At 37.3% G+C, this 23,653-nt stretch overlaps 1 protein-coding gene across 20 annotated transcripts in view; it reads left to right on the top strand.

Annotated features, from left to right (window-relative positions):
- The window catches only part of PCDH15 (protocadherin related 15), a 1,825,172-nt gene that overhangs the window by 1,515,526 nt on the left and 285,993 nt on the right, over positions 1 to 23,653 (top strand). For 19 of the 20 annotated variants that reach the window (XM_047425663.1, NM_001354420.2, NM_001354429.2 and 16 more), the window contains one exon: positions 22,354 to 22,433. The exons of the other annotated variant lie outside the window; for it this stretch is intronic. In XM_047425663.1, coding sequence (XP_047281619.1) covers positions 22,354 to 22,433 — 80 coding nt within the window. The remainder of the gene's footprint in view (positions 1 to 22,353; positions 22,434 to 23,653) is intronic. 20 annotated transcript variants of the gene reach the window in all.

Genomic DNA, 23,653 nt, shown 5'->3' with positions numbered 1-23,653 from the left:
GCCCCCACCCCCCACCTGGAGACAACTGGCAATATCTGCAGACATTTTTGTTTATCATGACTGGGGACTAGATCATACTGACAACTAAGGGATAGAGGTCAGAGATGCTACTGAACACCCTAAATGCACAGGAAATCCCCTCTCCAACAAAGAATTTTCCAGTTCAAAAATGTCATTGGTACCAAACTGAGGAACCCCGACTTAGAGGAATATGGTCGCCAGAGGAATGAGGTAGAATAGAAGATCTTTATTTTATTTATTTATTTATTTATTTTGAGACAGAGTCTCACTCTGTCACTCAGTGGAGTGCAGTAGCCATGATCTCGACTCACTGCAACCTCCACCTCCTGGGTTCAAGTGATTCTCCTGCTTCAGCCTCCCGAGTAGCTGGGATTACAGGCGCCCACCACCACGCTAAGCTAAGTTTTGTTTTTTTTTTTTTTTGTATTTTTGGTAGAGATGGGGTTTCACTATGTTGGGCAGGATGGTCTTGAACTCCTGACCTCAAGTGATCTACCTGCCTTGGCCTCCCAAACTGCTGGGACTACAGGCGTGAGCCACCACGCCTGGCCAAGATCTTTATCTTTAATAGAATTTTATAGGCAATCACTAGGGAATTATATGTCATAATAAAGGTGTATTTTGGAGTTCTGGGGAAGAGACACTTCAAATAGACCTTTATTCCCTATTATCTGCTGTGCTTTTAGATTTCTATCATGTCTCTTTTAAAGCCAAGAAACACTCTTTCCAGTTTCCTAAGTGATAATCAACTGATACTGCATGTTCTCTGTTAGTCTATCTTTATGGAAATGGTAGAGACCTACTTTTATTCATTCCTTCTTATAAATGACCTATCAGCAAAAGTTTATGACTATAGTAGAAAGTGAAAACTTCCATTTGCTTCAGGCCAAAAGCCCATTGTATGACCCAAAGAAAAGCTTACAATTTCTAAACCTGTTTGAATTGGAGAATTTTTGTTGTTTCTTGGTTATTTTTTTTTTCCTTTCTAATTGAACAGAGTTAAACTATTCTGTTTTTCTAAAGTTAAATGAAAAAAGACTAATTTGAATTCTGGGTTTGAATGTAGACTATTTGCTTGGGCAACTATTTAATAGCTTCTGGTATTTTAATAGCAGTAATCACTATTACCTTTAGTAACTTGGCAATAAATGATTCTCACTGTGTTGTTTTGTAAATAAACCTCAGAGTTTATTGCATGTCTTGAAGCTATTTATTGCTTCACATGCTGTCAGCTATTGTTGATTAAAGTGTAAGTATATAAAGGCTGTAATTTTTCTGAGATTTTGATAAATAGAAAGGAACAAAAACCATGTTAGTGAAGTATACTCAATAAACTGCTAATAAGTATCAGTTGTCTAGTGAGAACAATGGGAGACTCAACTGATCCTGCAAAGTCCCTATGGTGTTTCTATACTTAACTACCAAGAATTAGTTGATTTGGAGCTAAGAAAACAATGTATTTTAAATTGAAAAGTAAAGAATATTTACATTGGAAGAGTTATTAAGAAAACTGAAAAATTCAATTATATGTCTCGTGGTTTCAAATACTTTTTTAAAAACCATAGATTCATTAAATCCAAAACCAGTTTTTAAAAGAAAATAAGGGAAAAAATGTCATCTTCGTCTCTGATTTTCCCAGTCATACACTTGTCTCACCCACACATAAGAACAAAGCTTTTTTTAAAGAAAGCTCCAGGTTAAAAAACATAAATTTCAGACACAAAGACACAATTATCTAGCAATAGAAGTGGACTGAGCCATTCCTTACCTCCCTCCTCCAAAATAAAGGTAGTTCATTCGGATTTTGATAAATAAATGGTTAGAAAGCACAGCAAAACTTGATTGCTGCTACAGTTGTCCTAATTTAACCACTGTGTGCTGAGTGATTTGGAATCAGAAGCTGTCTTCATGAGTAAAGATGAAAAATTCACAGTGTAATGCCCCAAATAGCAGGCTAAAAAGACCTGTTTATACTTATTTTTCCTTTGTTTACTTATATATATACCTATGAGTTCACACTAAAACTTCAATTCCAATCTGATCCCATACCATTTACTCTAGTTTTTTTTTTTTTTTTAATCTTTCCACACTTTTGTCTCTATTCTCTGATAGGAAACCTGCTTCTTACCTTCATTGTATTTATGTACTAAGTAAATGTCACTGGGTTAAACCAATCTCCTGCCTATGACCCCATACAAATGGTCTCCTCACTCCACTCATGCTTTGACACCACACGCCTGGCTGCCACTGGCGCAGCACAGATGCAGCCCTCACCCCACCGACAACCACGCAGACAAACTTATTACCAAGTTCAAAGTCCAACACTTCACACTACATGCCACAAATACCATACCCCAAACTATTGCCTTCTTCATTCCACTTGTACTTGTATTTTTAAATTTTCTTTCATTTTTAATTTTTGTGGGTACATATATTTTGGGGTGATATTGAGATATTTTGATACAGGAATGCAGTGCATAATAGTCACATCAGGATAATGGGGTATCCATCACCTCAAGCATCTATCCTTTATGTTACAAAAAAACTGATTATACTATTTTTGTTATTTAACACATACAATTAAATTGCTTTTTACTGTAGTCACTTTGTTGTCCTAACAAATACTAAGTCTTATTCATTCTTTTTAACTATGTTTTGTACCCATTAACTATCCCCACTTCCCCCATAAACCTGCATTACGCTTCCCTGCCTTTGGGAACCATCCCTCTACTCTCTATCTTCATGAATTCAATAGTTTTATTTTTCAGCTCACATGAATAAATGAGATCATGCAAAGTTTGTCTTTCTGTGCCTGGCTTATTTCCCTTAATTTTCTTATTTCCCTTAATTTGATGATGTCCAGATCAATCATGTTTTTGAAAATGACAGAATGTCACTTTTTATGGCTGAATAATGCTCCATTGTGGATGCATACACAATTTACCATGACAGATTCAGAGTTTGATGCCTTTGATTTTCTTTTATATACTGGGAGATAAGTGTCTAGTTTTATTCTTCAGTGTATGGATATCCAGTTTTCCCAGGACCATTTATTGAGCTTATTTTGCTTCCAAATATTGGCCATTGTGAATAGTGCTGCAATAAACACGGAGTGCAGATAGCTCTGCCATATTTTGATTTTCATCCTTCTGTGTTTATACCTAGAAGTGAGATTTCTGGATCATATGATGCTTCTATTTATAGTTTTGTGAGGAATTTCAAATACTGTTGCCAATAGTAGTTGTACTGATTTACATTTATACGAACAGCATGCAAGAGTTTTCTCAAGCAGAAGGAGTCTCTCCCATAGCCACCACAGCTGGACTGAGTCTCATCTGAAGCCAGCAAGTCTCATAAATCTCACCACAGTGTACTACCTGGGTATCACTGCTGGTTATTCAGGGACCAAGGTTTTTTGTTTATTTGTTTGTTTGTTTGTTTGTTGCGTCAGTTGATGGGTCCTACCAGGACTGGGTTCTTCTCTTCAAGGCAGAGGTTTCTATTTTTGCCCAGGATGTGTCTAGAAATGTCAGCCATGAGGTAGAACCTGAAATGGGAGCCTCATGACTGACTAGTGTCCTATCCTACTGTGGCTTACCTGGTATTCAAGATGTAAGACAATGTTCCCTTTACAATTCCCTCTTCTCTCCTCAGCAGAAGTAAAGAGTATCCCCCTGACCTGTGAGTTGTGCTGCCTGGGGTTGAGGGAGGGGTTGCACAAGCACTCCCTTAGCTGCTCCAGCCATTGTCACCGTAGGTCACATGCCATCCTAGTCCAGTGGGTCTAAGCCCAGCTCAGCACTAGTACTTGCATAGGAGTTGCAGTCTTTGTGGCCTAGACTGCATTTCAAGTTTACCTAGAACCCCAGAGCCCTTTAGCCTGTGGTGGGAAGGCTGGCTGGAACTTAAGTTTCAACTGCTGGTTTGGGTTATTCTCCTCTGGATAGGATTGGTTTATATACTCCTTCTGTGAGCCGGCATCAGCTGAATTCATTCTGGTTTTGCTTTCTGCTGTGACAGAACAGTGCTGAGTTCAATGCAAAGCCTCACAATTGCTGCACTCTCCCTCTCTCAAGTGCACAGATCCTCTCTTCTTGCCATGTGTCTTCTGCCAGGGGATGGGGGAGGGGTGGCATCAGCAATTCAAGACTTTCTTTCCTATCCTCATCAGTGACTCTTTCAGTGATATGTATTTACAGCCAGGTACTGTGAGTGCTCACCTGACATTTTCTTGTTATGAAAGTTGTTTGTTTCAGGGGATGATTACTGGGGGACCATCTTGCTCCACTCTCTCCACTCTTGCTTTGACATCCCACTGTAGACTGCTGTCCTACTGACACCCTTCCCATGCAGACACCATGATTACCCTCATTATTCCCTAACTCAACACATATGAGAGTCTACACAAATGCCCTTGTAACCATCTTTGGGCTTTGAAATCACACCAAATCATCATTCCCATTCTGACCCAGTCCTAAACATTCTGCTTACCTGCTTTGGGTTCTGACCTCCCATTCCAGACATCTTGAATGACCTCCTTTTCCTCTCTTGGGTTTGATGACCCCATGCCAGGCTGCTGTGGCAACCCTTTTCCAAGGTTTTGACACCGTTTACTTTCTGAAACCCCACCCAGGCTCTGATTCTTTACATTGATCACTTCCACAACACCCCACCCAGCCCAGATAGCCTGATATCACTCAGTCTAGGACACCCCAAATTACACTGCTGCTGTCCCCCACTTCATGGGCATGCCCTACTCACCCTCATTAGACTCTTAACAATTCTTGCTGGCCCTTCACTGCCAGTCCATTTGGCTCCCCAAAACATTTCATCTTCCAAACATGGCCACATTTGCCTCCCACCCTCTCAGATGCCTTTCTCATTTGACTAAGGCTCTAATACTTCCTGCTGTGCACGTTGCTGCCACAAATACTACTGCATGTTCCTCCCCCTCTGGGGTTCTGATTCTCTCTACCAGACCACAGCCCATACCCGCAATAGGAGCAAACGGTTATCATACTAAGCGTTGTAATGGTTTATGAAATTACTTATTCAAGAAGAAAATCAGGAAGGAAGAAGTCAGGAAGCATACATATATTTATGACACTAAAGAGATGCAAACATTCAAAGTCTCTACAGCAGATTTTCAAGCCATACTTTGGATCACAAAATCAATTTTTGGTGTTAATATTATCTCTTGTTAATGAAATCAAGTAGTATATAAGAGAACAGAACATAACAAAATAGAAAATTCTATCAATGCTATTGATTCTATTAATAAAATATTAATACGTGAAAATTAATACCATGTATAAACATTTGGTTACTGGTTCTAGGAGATAGACAGCTGAGATAGATGAGAAAGAAGGAAGAAGGAAGGAAGATAGGCAAGGTATCCAAGTTCATAGAGTCAAATATATCTTCATATCACCAGATTCAATATTTCTTGAATAAACTGATCTCTTGACCTGGATTATATGTGTATTTGACAAAATAATCTTCCAATGTTTTAACTGTTTATTTTTTACACTTAAGCCTTCAAGCTATATAACATGTATTTTTGTGTATATAATGAAATTTGAAATCAATTTCAATTTCTTCTGTCTGAATAAACACCAAACAGCATCATATATGAAGGACTTTGCTTTTTCCTAACTAGTTGTACTGTCAACTCTCTTTTTTGTGTGTGAAATTTTCTTATGTGTGTGGATCCACACTTCATATTGTACGAACCTAATTGTCTAATCCTATACCACTTGAAGCAAGTCTGTTTTTTATGCTCGTTATACTTTTGTGGCTTCAGTAACAGGAGGAATGCTTTCCATATCCATTCTATTTAGCTGTTTCTTGATTTTGGGCTTTATAAAGACCAGACTCACTCCTATAGGATCCACCTATGTTAACATTTCCCTTAGGAAGATACCTGTGTGTTAAGACATCCCATGACCTGACACTTTCTGTGTTTCTCTCTGGTCCCTGTCTGTAAGCCACAAGAAGCTCATTAGCTCCAGGAAAACAAATAGATTGCTACTGAGTGTGGACAGCAAGGAAGCTGTGCTAACTCCATCATCTCTGTGGAATAATTCTTGCTTGTTATTAGCAGCTATATTAAGATATAATTCATTTACCCTAAAATCTACCAATTTAAAGTACACAATTTAATGTTTTTAGTATATATTCACGTAGTTGTTCAACCATCACCACAGTCAATTTTAGAATATTTGTATCACACCATAAAAAAAGCCTATACTCCTCATTTACTCCAGAGTCACCAGTCCTAGGCAACTACCAGTCTGCTTTCTGTGTCTTTAAATTTGTCTATTCTGACATGTTGTTTAGATGTAATCATGCAATGTGTGATCTATTGTATCTGGTTACTTTTGCTTAGTTTAACGTTTTAATGCCCATGGTCTAGCATATATTGATATTTCATTATTTTTTATTTCTCAATAATGTGCAATTGTCTGCATATACTACACTTTATACATTCATCAGCTGACGGTCATGGGGATTGTCTCTAATTTTTGACTATTATGAATAATACTGCTATTAATATTTACATATATTTTTGTGTGTGAACATAAGTTTTCATTTCTCTTGAGCAGAAACCTAAGAATGGAATTGCTGTGTTATATGATACTGTGATGGTTAATACTGAGTGTCAACTTAATTGGATTGAAAGATGCAAAGTATTGATCCTGGGTGTGTCTGTGAGGGTGTTTCCAAAGGTGATTAACATTTGAGTTAGTGGGCTAGGAAAGGCAGACCCACCCTTAATCTGGGTGGGCACCATCTAATCAGAAAATAAAGCAGGCAGAAAAATGTGAAAAGACTAGACTGGCTTAGCCTTACAGCCTACATCTTTCTCCTGTGCTGGATGCTTCCTGCCCTTGAACATTGGACTCTAAGTTCTTCAGCTTTGGGACTCAGACTGAATTCCTTGCTCCTCAGCTTGCAGACAGCCTATTGTGAAACCTCATGATTGTGTGAGTTAATACTACTTAATAAACTCCTAAATATATCCTATTAGTTTTGTGTATGTGTGTGTGTGTGTGTATATATATGTATGTGTGTGTGTATATATATATATATATATATATATATATATATATATATATCTCCATCTATATGTCTATATCTATATCTATATCTCTTGTTAGTTCTGTCCCTCTAGAGAACTCTGACTAATACAGATTTTGGTGCCAGGAGTGGTTCTAGAGGAACTGAATATTAAGGATGGAGTTCTTTCATTGGTTTTGGGGTTTCTGGAGTTGGCTGTTTAATATGATTAGATCAAAAAATGCTAAGTACTTTACTTCTAATAGTATGGTGAACAATGATAGTCCTTGCTCTGAATTATTTAGACAGTTATGCAAAATAAATGCATTTGACACTCCTGATTCACCACTTGTGAGAGGCAAAGAGTTTAGTGACTCTATACATAATACCTTTGACTATGAAGTTGGTTGGTTGCTCCTAAGTTTACTGGACAAAGTGATGAAAGAAAAGGATGAACTCAGGGATTCTTTTTTTTTTTTTTTTTTTTTTTTGTTGTTGTTGAGGCAGAGTCTCACTCTCTCAGCCAGGCTGGAGTGCAGTGGCGCGATCTTGGCTCTCTGCAAGCTCCACCTCCTGGGTTCATGCCGTTCTCCTGCCTCAGCCTCCTGAGTAGCTGGGACTACAGGCGCCCGCCACCACGCCCAGCTAATTTTTTGTATTTTTAGTAGAGACGGGGTTTCACTGTATCAACCAGGATGGTCTCGATCTCCTGACCTCGTAATCTGCCTGCCTTGGCCTCCCAAAGTGTTGGGATTACAGGCGTGAGCTACCGCGCCCGGCTGAACTCAGGGATTCTAACTCCTGGCTTCAGAAGCAGATACTGAGCCTCAAATCTGCTAAGATTTTCCCGAGTGAGAGTCTTAGCTCCTGTAGAGAAAGAGCTAAAATTGTGGAAAATCAGACACAAACTCTTATCATGCTAGTGGCTGACCTGCAACAACAGGTGTAATCACAGCCTCGCCAGGTGTCCCCTGTTAAAGTGAGGGCATTGATTGGAAAAGAATGGGACCCTGCAACTTGGAATGGGGATGTGTGGGAGGACCCTGATAAGGCTGGGGACACTGAGCTTGTAAACTCTGATGAAACTTTTTTGTCAGAAGAAATGGCTTCTCCATTCCTAGTCGTGGAAACCTCCTCTCTCTAATCCATGCTGCCATCAGCCTTTCCACTTTTGTCTGAGGAGAGAAACCTTGCACTGCCTGAAGCAACAGTGATGGCCTCCCCTAAGGCAGTTGCCAGGAAAAATAATGTTGATTCTCCTCAGGAGCCAGCCCCAACACTCCTGTTTGCTTCTGAATCTATAACTAGACTAAAGTCCTTGTGGGCCCCTAGAGGTAAGTTCAGAGTGTGACCCATGAGGAAGTGTGCTACACTTGAAAAGAACTGCTCGAGTTTATTTTGTTTTGTTATGTTTTTTTAATTTATATAAGCAGAAATCTGGAGAACAGGCATGGGAATGGATATTATGGGTATGGGATAATGGTGGAAGAAACATAGAGTTCAATCAGGCTGAATTTATTGATCTGGGCCCACCAAGTAGGGATTCTGCATTTAATGTTGCAGCTTCAGGAGTTAAAAAAAGGTTATAATAATTTATTTGTCTGGTTAGCTAAAATATGGATTAAAAGAGAGCCAACTCTGAGCTTGCTGGAAATGCCGGATCTCTCTTGGTTTAATGCAGAGAAAGGGATCTAAAGGCTTAGGGAGTTTGGGATGGTGGAGTGGACTAGTCACTTTAGACCTACTCATCCCTGCTGGGTGGGTCCTGAAGATATACCCTTGACCAGTGCTTTGCAAAAGAGATTTATGAGGGCAGCACCTGCATCTTTGAAGAGCCCTATAATTGCTCTTCTCTGTATGTCAGATCAAACAGTGTGAACCACAGTCACTCAACTACAAAATTTAAATACAATAGGAGTAATTGGATCCCAAGGTGGCATGGGCCAAGTGGTGGCGCTCAACCATCAAAGGCAAGGTGGGTGTAGTTACCATAATGGACAGCAGAGGCAAAGCAGCATCAGAGTAGTCTGACTCATGTAAGGCTCTGACATTGGCTAATTAATCAGGGTGTTCCTAGAAGTGAAATTAATAGGAAGCCTACTGCATTCCTACTTAATTTAAGCAGAAAACTTCTATGTAGAATGGACAAAAGACTAATTTGAATTATAAAAACAGAGAATCATGACCCCTCAGTCAATTTCCAGAGTTGAGCCAGTTTACAGACCCAGAACTCCTTGAATGAAGGGGAGGCCAGGTCCCCTTGAGGAAGAATCCCATTACACTACCCACCAATTTATGCTGTTAATCTTTCTTCCATCCTTCTCCAAGGAGGCCTCGGGCCTTTTACCAAGGTCACTGTGCACTGGGGAAAGGGAAATTATCAGTCATTTTGGGGACTGCTGGACACTGGCTCTGAGCTGACGTTGATTCTTGGGGACCCAAAACTGTGGTCCTCTAGTTAAAGTAGGGGCTTATAGAGGTCAGATAATTAATGGGGTTTCAGCTCGGATCTGTCTTATAGTGGTTATCCAGTGGGTCCTTGGACTCATGCTGTGGTCATTTCCCCAGTGCTGGAATGAATAATTGGCATAGGCATACTTAGAAGCTGGCAGAACCCCCACATTGGCTCCCTGACTGGAGGGCTCTTATGGTAGGAAAGGCCAAATGGAAGCCATTAGAGCTTCTTCTACCTAGAAAAATAGTAAATCAAAAACAGTATCACATCCCTGGATGGTTTGCAGAGATTAATGCCACTATGAAGGACTTGAAAGCTACAGGGGTGGTAATCACCACATCCCTGTTCAACTCTCCTATTTGGCCTGAGCATAAAACAGATGGATCTTGGAGAATGACAGTGGACTATTGTAAGCTTAATGAAGTGGTGACTCCAATTGCAGCTTCCGTACCAGATGTGGTTTCATTGCTTGAGCAAATTAACACATCTCCTGGTACCTGATATACAGCCATTGACTTGGCAAATGCCTTTTTCTCCATTCCTGTCCATAAGGCCCACCGGAAACATCAGACTTCTCAGCCACTGCAGCACATTGCTGGGGGTGATAAGAAATTGTGTGGCCTGCCTTCATGGGCAGATAGCCTAGTTTCAGACTGAAGCTGTGAGGAAGAATTCCCATGTTCTTGACTATGCCTGCATTATGCTGTGCTGAATAGGTTTTTGGAAAGGGAGAAAGACAGGCTGTTCTTAGTGAACTCACTAAGAACAGTTTTCACAATTCTTAGTGAGATTTAGTAGGTTTTATTGAATAAATATTTTTTCCACTTGCCATATGTCTTTAGAACAGTATTTAGAGACTATTTTAAAACTTTATTTATATTACTATTATGATTATTAATATTATTTTGAGACAAGGTCTCACTCTGTTGCCCAGGCTGGAGTGTAGTGGTGTGGTCATGGCTCACTGCAGCCTCCACCTCCAGGGCTCAAGTTATCCTCCCACCTCAGCCTCCCAAGTAGCTGAGACTACAGTTGCACAACACCACACACAGCTAATTTTCTTATCTTTTTTTTTCTTGGTATAGATGAGTTTCACCATGTTGCCCACGCTGTTTTTAAACTCCTATCCACATATAATCTTCTGGTCTCAGTCTCCCAAAACTCTGGGATAACAGGCATGAGCCACTGCGCCTAGCTGAGACTTTAATTTTTAAGGTTTCTTTTTTAGCAGTTGTGATTGTTTTACTGGGAGATGGTCAGTGTAGCTCCTCACTTTGTCATTGGAGAAGTGTCTCTGCTGTATGCTCCAATCCTGCTTATTTTTACTTTTTGATATATGTATCAACTGAAAATATACTAAGGGGTTATGTTAGTGTTTGATCTATTAATTTGCTCAAAATAATACATGCTAAGTATTAGTTGTGAATTGTGTATTTCACTCATTTGTCATTTTTTTAGCTCAAAGTGTTGATGGCCAGGTTTATAAACATTTATTTATGTTCCCCTCCCCACCATCCACTGCCAATATAGTTGACCAATGTATTAGTCCATTTTCAAGCTGCTGATAAAGACATACCAGAGACTGGGCAATTTACAAAAGAAAGAGGTTCAATTGGACTTACAGTTCATGTAGCTGGGGAGGCTTCACAATCATGGTGGAAGGTGAAAGGCATGTCTCACATGGCGGCAGAGAAGTGGAGAGAACTGGGGCAGGGAAACTACCATTTTTCAAACCATCAGATTTCATGAGACTTATTTGCTATCACAAGAATAGCCATGGGAATGACCTGCCCCCAGGATTCAATTGTCTCCTACCAGGTCTCTCCCACAACACGTGGGAATTAAAGACGAGATTTGGGTGGGGACACAGACAAGCCATATCAACCAATATCTACCTATCTTAGACACATTTTCAGACCTTAACTGGAGATCTTTCTTTCTGTTTATCAGTATATAAAGTGGACATGAAGAGCAAGCAGTGCTTAAAGTATACATGTAACCTTGCAGATGAAAATTTTTGTATCTAAGAATAGGAAAAAAAAAAATCCCCCCCCACCTTAAGTGGTTGCCGGGAATTTGATGTACTATCTCTGCTAATATGGTATCATATCACTTACTATATGTTGCTGAGTATTCCAGAAGTGAGAGTTTTATTGATAACAGAGTTGTAGTCTCTTTAAGAAACACTGCTTTACAAATCGATTTTTTTTGCCTGAATTCTATTGTGCATTCTTCTTTCTAAATATTAACATCAATAGTAAGAGTTTAGTAAATGCATGCTAAGCACTATGCTGAATTCTAGATATGAACTCTTTCATTCTATCATCATGACAGCCTTGTGCCATTTTATCTGAGTATCAGAATGATGTCACTGAGATATAAATACCTTAAATCTTGCTCAAAGAGGATGTGGCTTATAAGTGAAAGAGTCCCATTTCATTCCTATTTCTTTTCACTCCAAAGCCTAAGATTTTAACTATTAAATTAATTTATTGAGCAATACTTTTTTTTTTTTTTGAGACGGAGTCTTGCTCTGTCACTCAGGCTGGAGTGCAATGATGTGATCTTGGCTGACTGTAACCTCTGCCTCCCGGGTTCAAGCGATTCTCCTGCCTCAGCCTCCTGAGTAGCTGGGATTACAAATGCACACCACTACGCCCGGCAAATTTTTGTGTTTTTAGTAGTGACAGGTTTCACCATGTTGGTCAGGCTGGTCTCAAACTCCTGACATCGTGATCTGCCCGCCTTGGGCTCCCAAAGTGCTGGGATTACAGTCATGAGCCACCATGCCCGACCACTGAGCAATACCTTCTATTTGAATGGAATTCTGAAGTGTATTAAATATCTATTACCTCATCTGATTCTATATCTACTACATAAAGTAGATGCTTGAAGTATTTTTTATTTCATTTTATGATTTAGAATAGATGTCTAGGGATACATGCTAGTTCCCTAGACCCTAGGTGGCTAAAAGTGAGAGAATTAAGACTAGGTTCTTAATCTTGTAGATACTAGACCTGGATTACTTTTACAAATGCACAGTTAACCAGCATATAGTGAACACTATTTCTCAATGTTTATTTCACAAAGATTAATATTTTCTCAAGGTAGGGGCTATATTGAATAGTTTTATATTATTTCTCATTTCTAGCAGTACATATATTGTTTATAATGGGCATCAAATTAATGCTTTGTTTTTGTCTATTTAATTCAGAATATTGTGTGATTAATAGTTCCTAAATTGGATTACATATTTTTATCTATAAGTAGTGCTGTGATGTGTGGGGCTTAATGGACAATTGATCTTTGATAACTATGCTTGTTTTATCTGTTTTTTTGTTTTTTGTTTTATATATATATATATATATTTTTTTTTTTTTTTTGAGATGGAGTCTCGCTCTGTCGCTGAGGTTGGAGTGCAGTGGAGTGATCTTGGCTCACTGCAAGCTCCTCCTCCTGGGTTCATACATTCTCCTGCCTCAGCCTCCCGAGTAGCTGGGACTACAGGCGCCCACCACCATGCCTAGCTAATTTTTTGTATTTTTAGTAGAGATGGGGTTTCACCATGTTAGCCAGGATGGTCTCGATCTCCCGACCTCGTGATCTGCCTGCCTTGGCCTCCCAAAGTGCTGGCATTACAGGCGTGAGCCACTGCGCCCAGCCTGTGTCTATTGTTTTTAAGGTGCACTTTCTGTCTACTTCTCTCACAGCTGTCAAGCCATTCACTGTGTACTGATTTCATTCACTGTTTGCCTGTGTCCGGATAACTTTATTATTTTACATATCTGGTTTTTATCTAGTGAAGGCTGAGAAATCTAACTAGTTAGAAAAGTGAGTAGGCTCTGAGGAAAGCTTTGAGAAAACCTTGAACTAAATTCTAAGAGTTTAAGTAAATTGCTTCGTAGGTGTCCAGTTTTTCATAGTTCTAAAACAAAGAACAAATAAACTTCTATTTATATAAATCTGGACAAGAGCTGTATCATGAAGAAATTTTTTTAATGACAGAAATGTTGATTCTGATTTTTTTCTATTTGGTTTGTCATTAAATGTTGAGGGCTGTAAACTGACCAAAGCCAATTGTCTTTCCACAATAATTAGATTCTAAGTATCAATAGCCACGAATAAGTAGTAGTAAAAGAGGGCTAGGATTCTCTGTCACAACCTTCATAGAAAGGTTGGAAAAGTTTGTCTCAGGCCAAATACTACTATGCACAGTATATTTATTAGCAAGTAAGATTTGTCCTTTCAGAGGCCTGACAACATTTTTCTTTAAGTTCAATTTAGGCAAACCAAACACTATTCTAGAGACAGCTCTCAGGGTAATGTTACAGTTAGTATTGGGCAATAAAAACTAAGAATAATTGGGCTAAATTCATACTTATGGAATCATCTTTTCAGCATCATTCCAGATGACAAAAGCCTTCCTGGTTTCATATAGTTTATTCATATAACCTCCTTTATCTTGAGCCATTCATGTTAGCAATGAATATTCATGTCCAATATTCATGAAGGTGATAGCAAATTTTTTAATAATTATAAATAAAGATAACTGAAATATTTATATCAGTGTGCCCAGAACAAACTGTTCCCTAACAGTCTTTTGGAATGTGTTTAACCTAGGACAGGTATTCTGAAAATGTAGAATAGGACACACACACACACACACACACACACACACACACACACACACAACTTTATTTTCTCTGTCAAGTTTGGAAGCAATTAATAGAGACACACAGAGTATATACAATAGGTAAAAAGCATGTGGGGTTTCTTTTTTTGTTTGTTTTGTTTTGTTTTACTGTAAATTCAGTTGCTTCAAGTACCAGATACAATTGAAATGCTGTACTTCCTTCAGTATATTAAAGTTAGGCTCCCAGTCATAGGAAGTACAAAGGAAGGCCCTTTATGATACTGAGGAAGAATGTGCATATACAGAACAGAGCTCTGACTGAGTTTCCTGGACTTAGTTTATCCTTGCAGTCTAATAAATCAGGGAGAAGCCAGAATGTCCCATGCCCTCCCCTCCTGAGGTGTGCATTTTCCTGCCTCCCAGTGAAAACAGGAGCAGGGAGAGACCTGTGTCCACTTAATACCTTCCTTTTTCATTTTTCCAAAATTCTTTCATTCATTTTTCTCATTATAATGTAATCATTAAGGCTTATAACTTTGCAAGGACCAAATGACAAGTAAATATTAACTTCTTATGGTGTCACAACTAAAAATGCTAGGATATAATAGTAAATAAAAAAGACAAAATTTCTGCTTTTATGAAGGTTCCATTCTAATAGAGAAGAAAATTAACAAAATATATGTGAGTTATGTGGAATTTTAGAAGATGTTATGGGGAAAATGAAAGAAGGAAAGCTAGAGAGGAAGTGCATGGGAAAATACAATTTGATAGTGATTATTTCACAAAGAAAGTGACCTTACAGCAAATAGTTGAATAAGGTGAGAGGATGAGCCATGGTTGTATCTGAGGAAAAGTATTTCAGGTGCAAAGGTAAGACCCCGAAGTTTAGACACACCTGATATGTTTAAGGAAGAAGAAAAATACTCCTCCTTACAGAGTAAAGTAAAAGAAACAGACAGTAGTAGAGATGAAATCATTCAGTAATAGGAGAGGGATAGATATAATTACTCTGCACGAAATTAGGTACAGTTAAAAATTTGAGTATAGCAGTGACATAATCAACCAAATTTAACAAAGGATAATCCTGGATGCTGCATTGAAAATGGTCTGTGGAAGAAGCCTGGGAAAAATTATGGAGAGTTGTTGATATGCTCTGTCAGCACATTCTAGGCCTGGAGTGATCTTTCCAGAAATAATGAGAAGTCATTTCAATCTGGTTATATTTTGGTGGTTAAAAACTACATGATTTGTTAATGAATTGGATATAGAAGGGGAGATAGAAGTTAAGAATAGGTATTAAGATACAGCTTGAGTAACTGGAAACATTGATTTGTCATTAGCCAAAATTAAAAGACTGTTAGAGAAAGAGTAATTCAATATTGGCCATACTGTATTTGAAAAGACTTTTTGACATCTGCTATGGACTGAATGTTTGTGTTCCCCCAAAATTCACATATTGAAGCCAAAATCCCCAACGTGATGGTATTTAGAAGTAGGACATTTGGTAGTTAGAGATACTTAGGCTATGAGAGTGGAGTCCTCATGAATGGCATTCAGTGCCCTTATGGGGAATGAAGAAACCAGAGCTCTCTGTTTCTACTATGTAAGTGTAGAATGAGAAGACAGCTGTCTGCAGACCACAAAAGGTGCATGGGATCTGCTAGTGCCATGATCTTGAATCTCTCAGCCCCAGAACTGAAATACAATTTTGAAGTCATTAGCATTTTACATATTATTTGAAACTTTGATATTGGATTAAGTTGACAATGACAGCAATGACAGGCAAAGAGAGAGACTGACAATGAGCAAAAAACAGGAAGTATGATAAATAGTGTAGAGTATGACTTTAACAATGAAGAGTAGCAGTTAATGCAGTATAATGCTTATGGTATAAGAATTAAAGCTGATGCATTTCCAGAAGAATAATCTGGCAGTGACATTGAGAAACAAGAAGGCTACTCTGAGGCTCACCAATCAAAAGGGATACTGGGAAATTAGGGTTCTTAAGAAGAACTTGGTGTTGGTTCAAGCAAGCAGGTGAAGGGAAACTCGAGATAAGTTTAGGACATAGGGGACTTTGCTAGTGATAGAAAATGAGTTTCAAAAGGCATAGAATATGAATTATGATTCTATAGTTTGTAAACTTTGGCAAATTATTTAATTTTTAAGCTTAAGATTTTATTATGTGTAAAATAGGGATTGTAGTGCTCTCCAGAGAAGATTGTTTTGAGGATTAAATGAGATGGGATATTAAAAGTGCTTAATACATAATGGTAACCATTATTTGGATGCGTCATTTTGAATATTTACATTAGTTCTAAGTTTATTTTGTTGATTGTTCCTTGAGCCCTAGACAAAATTAGAATTGCAGGCTTATTTTAGAATTGATTAAATCTCTTTGTATTCCAAGGTTACCCATTTTGTACAACAAAATTTTTTTAAGACTAAGCCTTCATAGAGTATCCCTAAATCTAACGGAAGTCTAGGTATTTTTCCTATTAAGGACTTCTTAATTTACAGACACTTCTCTGGATGTGACAAATAAATTTATGCTCACTTCCAAATGCCATTTATTTTCAACACTACCAGCAGTGATTCTGCTATGCCTTCTTAGCATAAGGCATTTTATTTTGCTTCCTGGGCAAAAGATCATTAATCCATACCAATATTGTAAGAAAAAGAGCTGTTTTATGGCTCTCCTGTGTGCAGTTTTCCAACATTCTTTTATTTTTGAGCATATTTATATTTTTGTCATTGTAGATTTAGCTACATTTCCAAGTTTCATATATGTTATATGTATATTCTATATAATATTATTCATTTTATATTGTTTGGAATATTTAATGAACTGACCTTTTACTTACACTTACTTCAAAATAACATTTTATATTATCATTATGAATGACAAAATAACAGTACTTGACATGAATAAAATATATTCATTAATTTTTATTTAAATATTATAACATTTTGTTAAAGGCCAAAAAATGTAATACCAGGAATGAATGTATACATTTTTTGAAACACTGCTGTACTGAATTGAAAGCTTTATTTGTTGCTCTCAAGTGGTTTAATAACATAAATCAGAACTTGTTTGCCTAAGTGAGAAAATCATCCAAATCCATTGATTTTTATCTATTTTAGAATCCCTAAGGGCAGTTACTTTGTCTTAATGTCCTGTGAAATGTGTAGAATCATTCCTTGCACATAAAATGCACTCTATCAGACGGTATTTGATGGCTGTATTCATCTTTAACATGAACAGAAGATTAGTTTAGAGAAAATTTGTTTTCTTTTCCAAATTTTCCATTTGCCAGTGTCTAAGAACACTGCTTCCTTGGATAAATACTTTTGTTTCCCTATTGGTGCTTCTGAAAAATCAGGGACTCTAAGTCAGATGCTGCAAGTAATCTGGTTGAGTGGACTGGAAAGAGTAATTGCTTTGATTTTTAAAGGAATCATTTGTTCTTCAGGCAAAATTAAAATTATATTAAATTAAATAAAAATTAAAGGAAAGATTGGCTTTAATCTTAACCATGTTATTAACCATATATTAGCAAACCAGTGGCTAAAGTGCATTACTTGCCAGCTATCCAAAATACACATCATTTATTCGTTTAACCTGAGGTATTAAAGTGGTCGAAGTACACTGAGGAGCTCCTCTTCCACATGCTGCTTGCCTCCAGACCTGACAACCTCGTTGTTGTTCTTGAAACTCACCAGGCCTGTTTTCACCTCACGGCCTTTATCACTTGCTCTGCCCTCTTCCTGGAATGTTCTTCCCCACGTGACTTACTCTTTCACCTTTTACAAGCATTTGCCAAAATTTCACATTTTCAGTAAGTCTGTCATGATCACTTCTATAAGTGTAAATCCTCACCCTGCTCTCCATATATGTCCTTTGTGAAATATTTTGTAGTTGAGCAACGCGTATAAAGATCTGAAAACAAAATATTCTAATTAATTTTTAACTTCATTTTCCTCCACTACCATGTAAATTGTATAAGGGCAGGATTTTTGTCTGTGTGGTTTACTGCTGCAGCCTCAGTGCCTAACACAGCGTAGATGCTCAATAAATATTTGTTGAATTAATGAGTGATTAAGTAGTAGTAGTAGTATTCTCATTTTGTACTTGAGTGCATTGTCTGAGAAGAGATAGTATAGCTGAGGCTGAATCCAGGTAGCTGGCTCCAGAATCTCCCCCGTTAAACTCAAAATAAGCCCCAGAAAGATAACTGCTGTCATACTTTTCTCAGGCTTTGAAGAAGGGACTCGGATATGACTTGATTTATCAAAAATAAGCACATAAAATGTTTTTTCACTAAAAAGAAGCAATTTATATCTCTTATATTATGGAAAATACTGAATAACACTATGCTCCCATTTTCAAGATGATACAGTTATTACTATCTCTAGATAAAAAAGATGCATCTTTCAATTAATTAAAGTACAGAGAAATCTGGTTGGAATGATGGCAGAAATAGTAATATAATTGAAGTCATATGCATTTTCTATTTACCAGTAAAGTTACTATTAGGTTTAAATGAGACAAGACATGCAAAATTTTAATATAGTTTCTGACACATTATAAGCAATTATTTTGAGATGGCTGGTTAGATTTATATATAGAAAACATTTAAATATTGCTGATAGAAATATGTTTAGGGCACATATACACACATAATCAAATCCTAATACTTGAAGGGTAAATGCTTCTGTTGATATTTCCAATTTTTCTTTTTATGGATTATTTCTCACCTTTGGACATTGACAAAGAAAGATGATATTGTCTATACAAGTGCTAACTCATGTAATGCATAGATTGCAGAACTTTGATACAGATTACACCATTTCCTTTTGCTTTCTTGGCTGAAAAACTATAAATACTTCCTAATTATTATACCACCCTCGACCCTGGAACACCAATAAAGGATTGTGTGAAAAGATAAAAATGAAGAAAGGAATCAAATAAGAATTTTCTTTTAAATCCTAAGTCTTCAAAGTTTCCAATATGGGCATAACCTCACATAAGAATGAAGTAGGCAAATTGTTGACATTCACAATCCTTAAAAGACTGAGGTATTTGAGTGGTCAAATAAAACTGAAGAAATATTTCAAGCTACCTCTGGGATTGAAAGGAATTAACATAAAAATAATAAATATAAATACAGTGTTCTCATCTTACATAAAGGATATTAAATATTAGAGTAGATCTGATATAATAAAAGATTCGATATTAATCTGGTCTTAAAATTGTTTACATGAAGCTATCTTGTTTCAGAATGCATTTCTTCTGGCTTTTATGAAACACAAGATTATAAAATGTTTCTCAAGAAAAAAATTAAAACAGCAACCACATATCAATAAACAAACCAAAAGAACATGATCATATCTATAACAACATAATAAGAAAAATTTATTGACCGAGAGAAAAACAACAGAAAAAGTTCACTGTAAGCTTTTTGGGGTTAAGATATAGTCTCCAGATATAATTCTCTGATTCTTCAAAATGTTAGCTGAGTATCATTATTTGTGGTTCCTATCTAGCAAAGAACAGAATGCAAGGGAAAAATATCAAGCGTCTACTATCCATTTTATTGAGTGTATTCTTAGAAATTTGTTTGCTTCTTTTTTTTCTACTCCTAGGCTTCCATTATGACTAACTCAATGAAATATAAAATTTTGGATTTTGACTAACATGGGATGTTTCAAAAATATTTTACCCTGGCTAATTTATTACTTTCTTCTTCATTTACTTTTTTTGATTCCATTTTATTTTAGTGTGTATGGCATGGGGAGGGTGGGGAGCTGGGGGAGAAAGCAATAGACTTTACCCCAAAGAAATAAAAGAATTGGCCTGGAAAAACAAGTACTTTTGTCTGCTGAATTGAAAATTGACTATTGTGAGGATACAAGGGAAGAAGCAACACGTTAGTAAAATAGTTACTACCATAATCCATGAGGAAGGTGGTGGCAGAGAAGAAATTCAGACACAGCCAGATACAGCAGATATTTTAGGTAAATCTGGTGGGATCTGCTGATGGGTTGCATTGGAATGTAAGAGTGAGCCCTCAAAGTGTAGCTATGAGCCCTGAGAAAGTAGGAGGATGGAGTTGCAGGTACTTACTGAGATGATGAAGCAGTGAAAACAATAGATTATTGTTTGAATTTCTTTTATTTTTTGAGGTACGTCAAGATGGAAAGGAGATCTAGATTTGGGGCTTTTAACCTTTTAAATTGGGGAGGCTTATTATTATTCATCTAATGTGGATCCATGTAGGCAATTGGATACACATCTGAAATCCAGAGGAAAGGGCTAGCCTAGAGATATGACCGTCTTCAGCAGATAGACAGTATTTATAGCTACACTGTTGAATGAGTTGACTAAATAAGTGAAGTTCAAGGACCAACCTTTGGAACAATCCAATATAAAATAAGTCTTATAAAATGAGGAGAAATCAGCAAAGGAAAATGAGGAACTACCATTGATAATGTGAGGATTGAAAGCAGGACAATATGATGTCATAGGAGCCATGCGAAGGAAGTATATCACTTTTATGAGAGACAGATTAAATAATCTTGCAAAGATTTTCTTACAGAACCTAGCACATAGTCAATATTCAGTAGTTTATTACTGACTGAAATATTATTTTCAGTTTCCCTTGATTCTGTAGTTTTTGTGGTCCAAGAGAGGCTTCTGGCCATCAATCCATTGTGGTAGCTGATAAGGACGTTCTGTGAGCAGGACTGTGTAATCCATGTCAAAGCCAACTGATCTACCACTAAGAACAATACGTTCCTGCCTGTCTGGACAGGGAATTTCACACTCAGCCTCTTATGGCTGGGACAGTTATTATGTAGTCACTGACAGAAACTCACATACTTATTCCTCTCTCAGAATCCTGCTGACTCCAGGGCAGTTCCTGTCTGTGGAGAGGCTGGTGTTTCTGCCAGGCTAGTCACCTAAAAATAAAATACATCTGAACCTTTATCAGATATATCCCCCCCTGTAGCATCATGCTTAGGCAGATCATTCTGTCAACTCTCTGATAGCATCCAAATTTCTTTCTTTATCCATGTCTTTTATAAGAGGATCGAATGACTCACTGGAAAAAGAACTGATTTGATGTTTTTTAAGGTAAAACTCCAGACCTCAGTGCCATAAAACAAGAGCATCTTTATTTTGGTCAAGAGAAACTCGGAACTCAAAGTCAAACTATATGTTTTCTTCTCCGACTTGGGTGTTGAAGGGAAGAAAAACCAACAAAAAGGTTAATATTTATTGAAAGCTTACAATGTACCAGATATTAGTCTATGTGCCTTGATATATATTATTTCAATTAAACCTCTCAACATCTATTAACATTTGTATTGTTGTATAGTCCTCGTTTTAGAAATGGATACACAGAAATAATCACATAGGACAATTGGAGCCCGGTTTTGAAGTCATGCTTTGTGGCTATAAATTCAGGATTTTTAACCAGAAAGTTAGACTGATTTGAATTATTGTCTTGATATATTCTGAACAGAAAAAGAAAAGAATATACATTAAACACTTTATCGACACTGTAAACATAGTTTAGCACTTTTTTTTTTTTTTTTTTTGAGACAAGATCTTGCTCTGTTGCCCAGGCTGGAGTGCAGTGGCATGATCTCAGCTCATTGAAACATCTGCCTCCCGGGTTCAAGCAATTCTCCTGCCTCAGCCTCCCAAGTAGCTGGGGTTACAGGTGTGCACCACTGCACCCGGGTAACTTCTTGTGTTTTTGGTAGAGACAGGATTTCACCATGTTGGCCAGGCTAGTCTTGAACTCCTGATCTCAGGTAATCCGCCCACCTTGGCCTCCCAAAGTGCTAGGATTACAGGCTTGAGCCACTGTGCCCAGCCAGCAGCTTTTATTTAAATTATAAACAGACATTGAAATTAAATTCATTAATTAAGTTAATTAAATAAGTAAACCTTGGGAAAATGATTATTTCCACATCAGGTAGGATTACATATTCAGAAATGGATCAGATACGAAATGTTTGATTTTACACCTTGCCATTAGGCCATGCTTTAATCTTTATTCTTTAACAGTGTCATGGACATTCTGTGCTATTAGTTTCAAGCTTTTATATTACTCTGTAATGAGTGGGCGCCATATCAATTACTTGATAATTGAATTATGTTTTCTCTCTGAAGGCAACTGATCGAGAGGGAGACTCAATAACATATGCCATTGAGAATGGAGATCCTCAGAGAGTTTTTAATCTTTCAGAAACGTAAGTTAAAAATGATTTCCTACTTTAAAAAAATGTACAGCAACGTACTGTTAGTAAGAAAGCAGACTTCTAATCAGAGGCTTTCAGCTGTTTGTAGTTGTACTTCCCTTTCTGTTTTCTATGAATGCTAATGGTAGCTGGGAGGATAATTCTGAGCCCAGAAATATTACCCAGGAGACTGTTTATTTTTAACATTTTTACTAGGTAAAATCTACTGAGGTGGAAACATTTCATTGGAAGGCACAACTGGGATTAATTAGATCCTTTTAATGTTGTCAGCTACTGATAATGACAAGGACATTACTACAAAGGGTTACTTAGCACCAAACTGTGTATTCAAAGGGAGGCTTGTAGGCAAGATGTGTTACAAACACATCCTTCAATTTCAGATTAACATAGGTATATTTAAGAAAAAAAGCACAATGAAATAAAATACGTGTTCATGCCAAACTTCTTTGAGGTCTAGATCAGTGTCATTCTACTTATCTCTCTGAATACATCTGAGATATTGCTAATGATAACTATTGAGAAAACTGGGAGCAGGCATTAAAAGGAGGCATTTAGGGCTTCAGAGAGACTGTATGCTTCCCTTTTGCAATAGCAAGGTAGCTGTTCTGCTGTCACATGTGGCTGGTTTCTAAAGAGCTTGGCTCTTCCCTGATATTTCCTGTGTACCTGTGAATAGTTTTACTTTCAGAAGGAATAGAAATGTAAACTTGGCCAATGATTATAAAGTTAAAACTTTGACAAATGAATACATTGCCACATCAGACTCAGGAACATGTGGGGCATAATGCCAAAACAAGAGAACCATGTGCTGGTCAATTAGTCTTCCCAGAAATACCTGAAATTTCACGTTAAATAGAATTTTACAAACATGAGTTAGTAATGCCTGGGAAACTATAGACAAGAACAGTGTTTTCCACAGATAAGTAAACTTCTATTTGAAAAATAAAAAGCCTTAACTGTTTTCATTTTTATCTCATAGGGATGTAGAAATCAAAAATTAGCTACAATTTACAATCATCATTAAAGAAAATAAAAATGTTAAAAACTTTAAGCAAGGCTGTGTAGTATTAGCATAAAGATAGATATATAAGCACCTGGACAGACTTAAGAATCCAGAAATAACTCTAGTATTTATGGTCAATTGATTTTCAAAAAGGGGTCAAGATAATCCAATCAGGAAAGAACTTTGTTTCAACAAATGAAGCTGGGAC

The sequence above is a fragment of the Homo sapiens genome, chromosome 10 (assembly GCF_000001405.40).
Source record: "Homo sapiens chromosome 10, GRCh38.p14 Primary Assembly".
Classification (NCBI taxonomy): domain Eukaryota; kingdom Metazoa; phylum Chordata; class Mammalia; order Primates; family Hominidae; genus Homo; species Homo sapiens.
The sequence above is the reverse complement of the archived record's forward strand: the minus strand, read 5'-3'. Positions and strand labels throughout refer to the sequence as shown.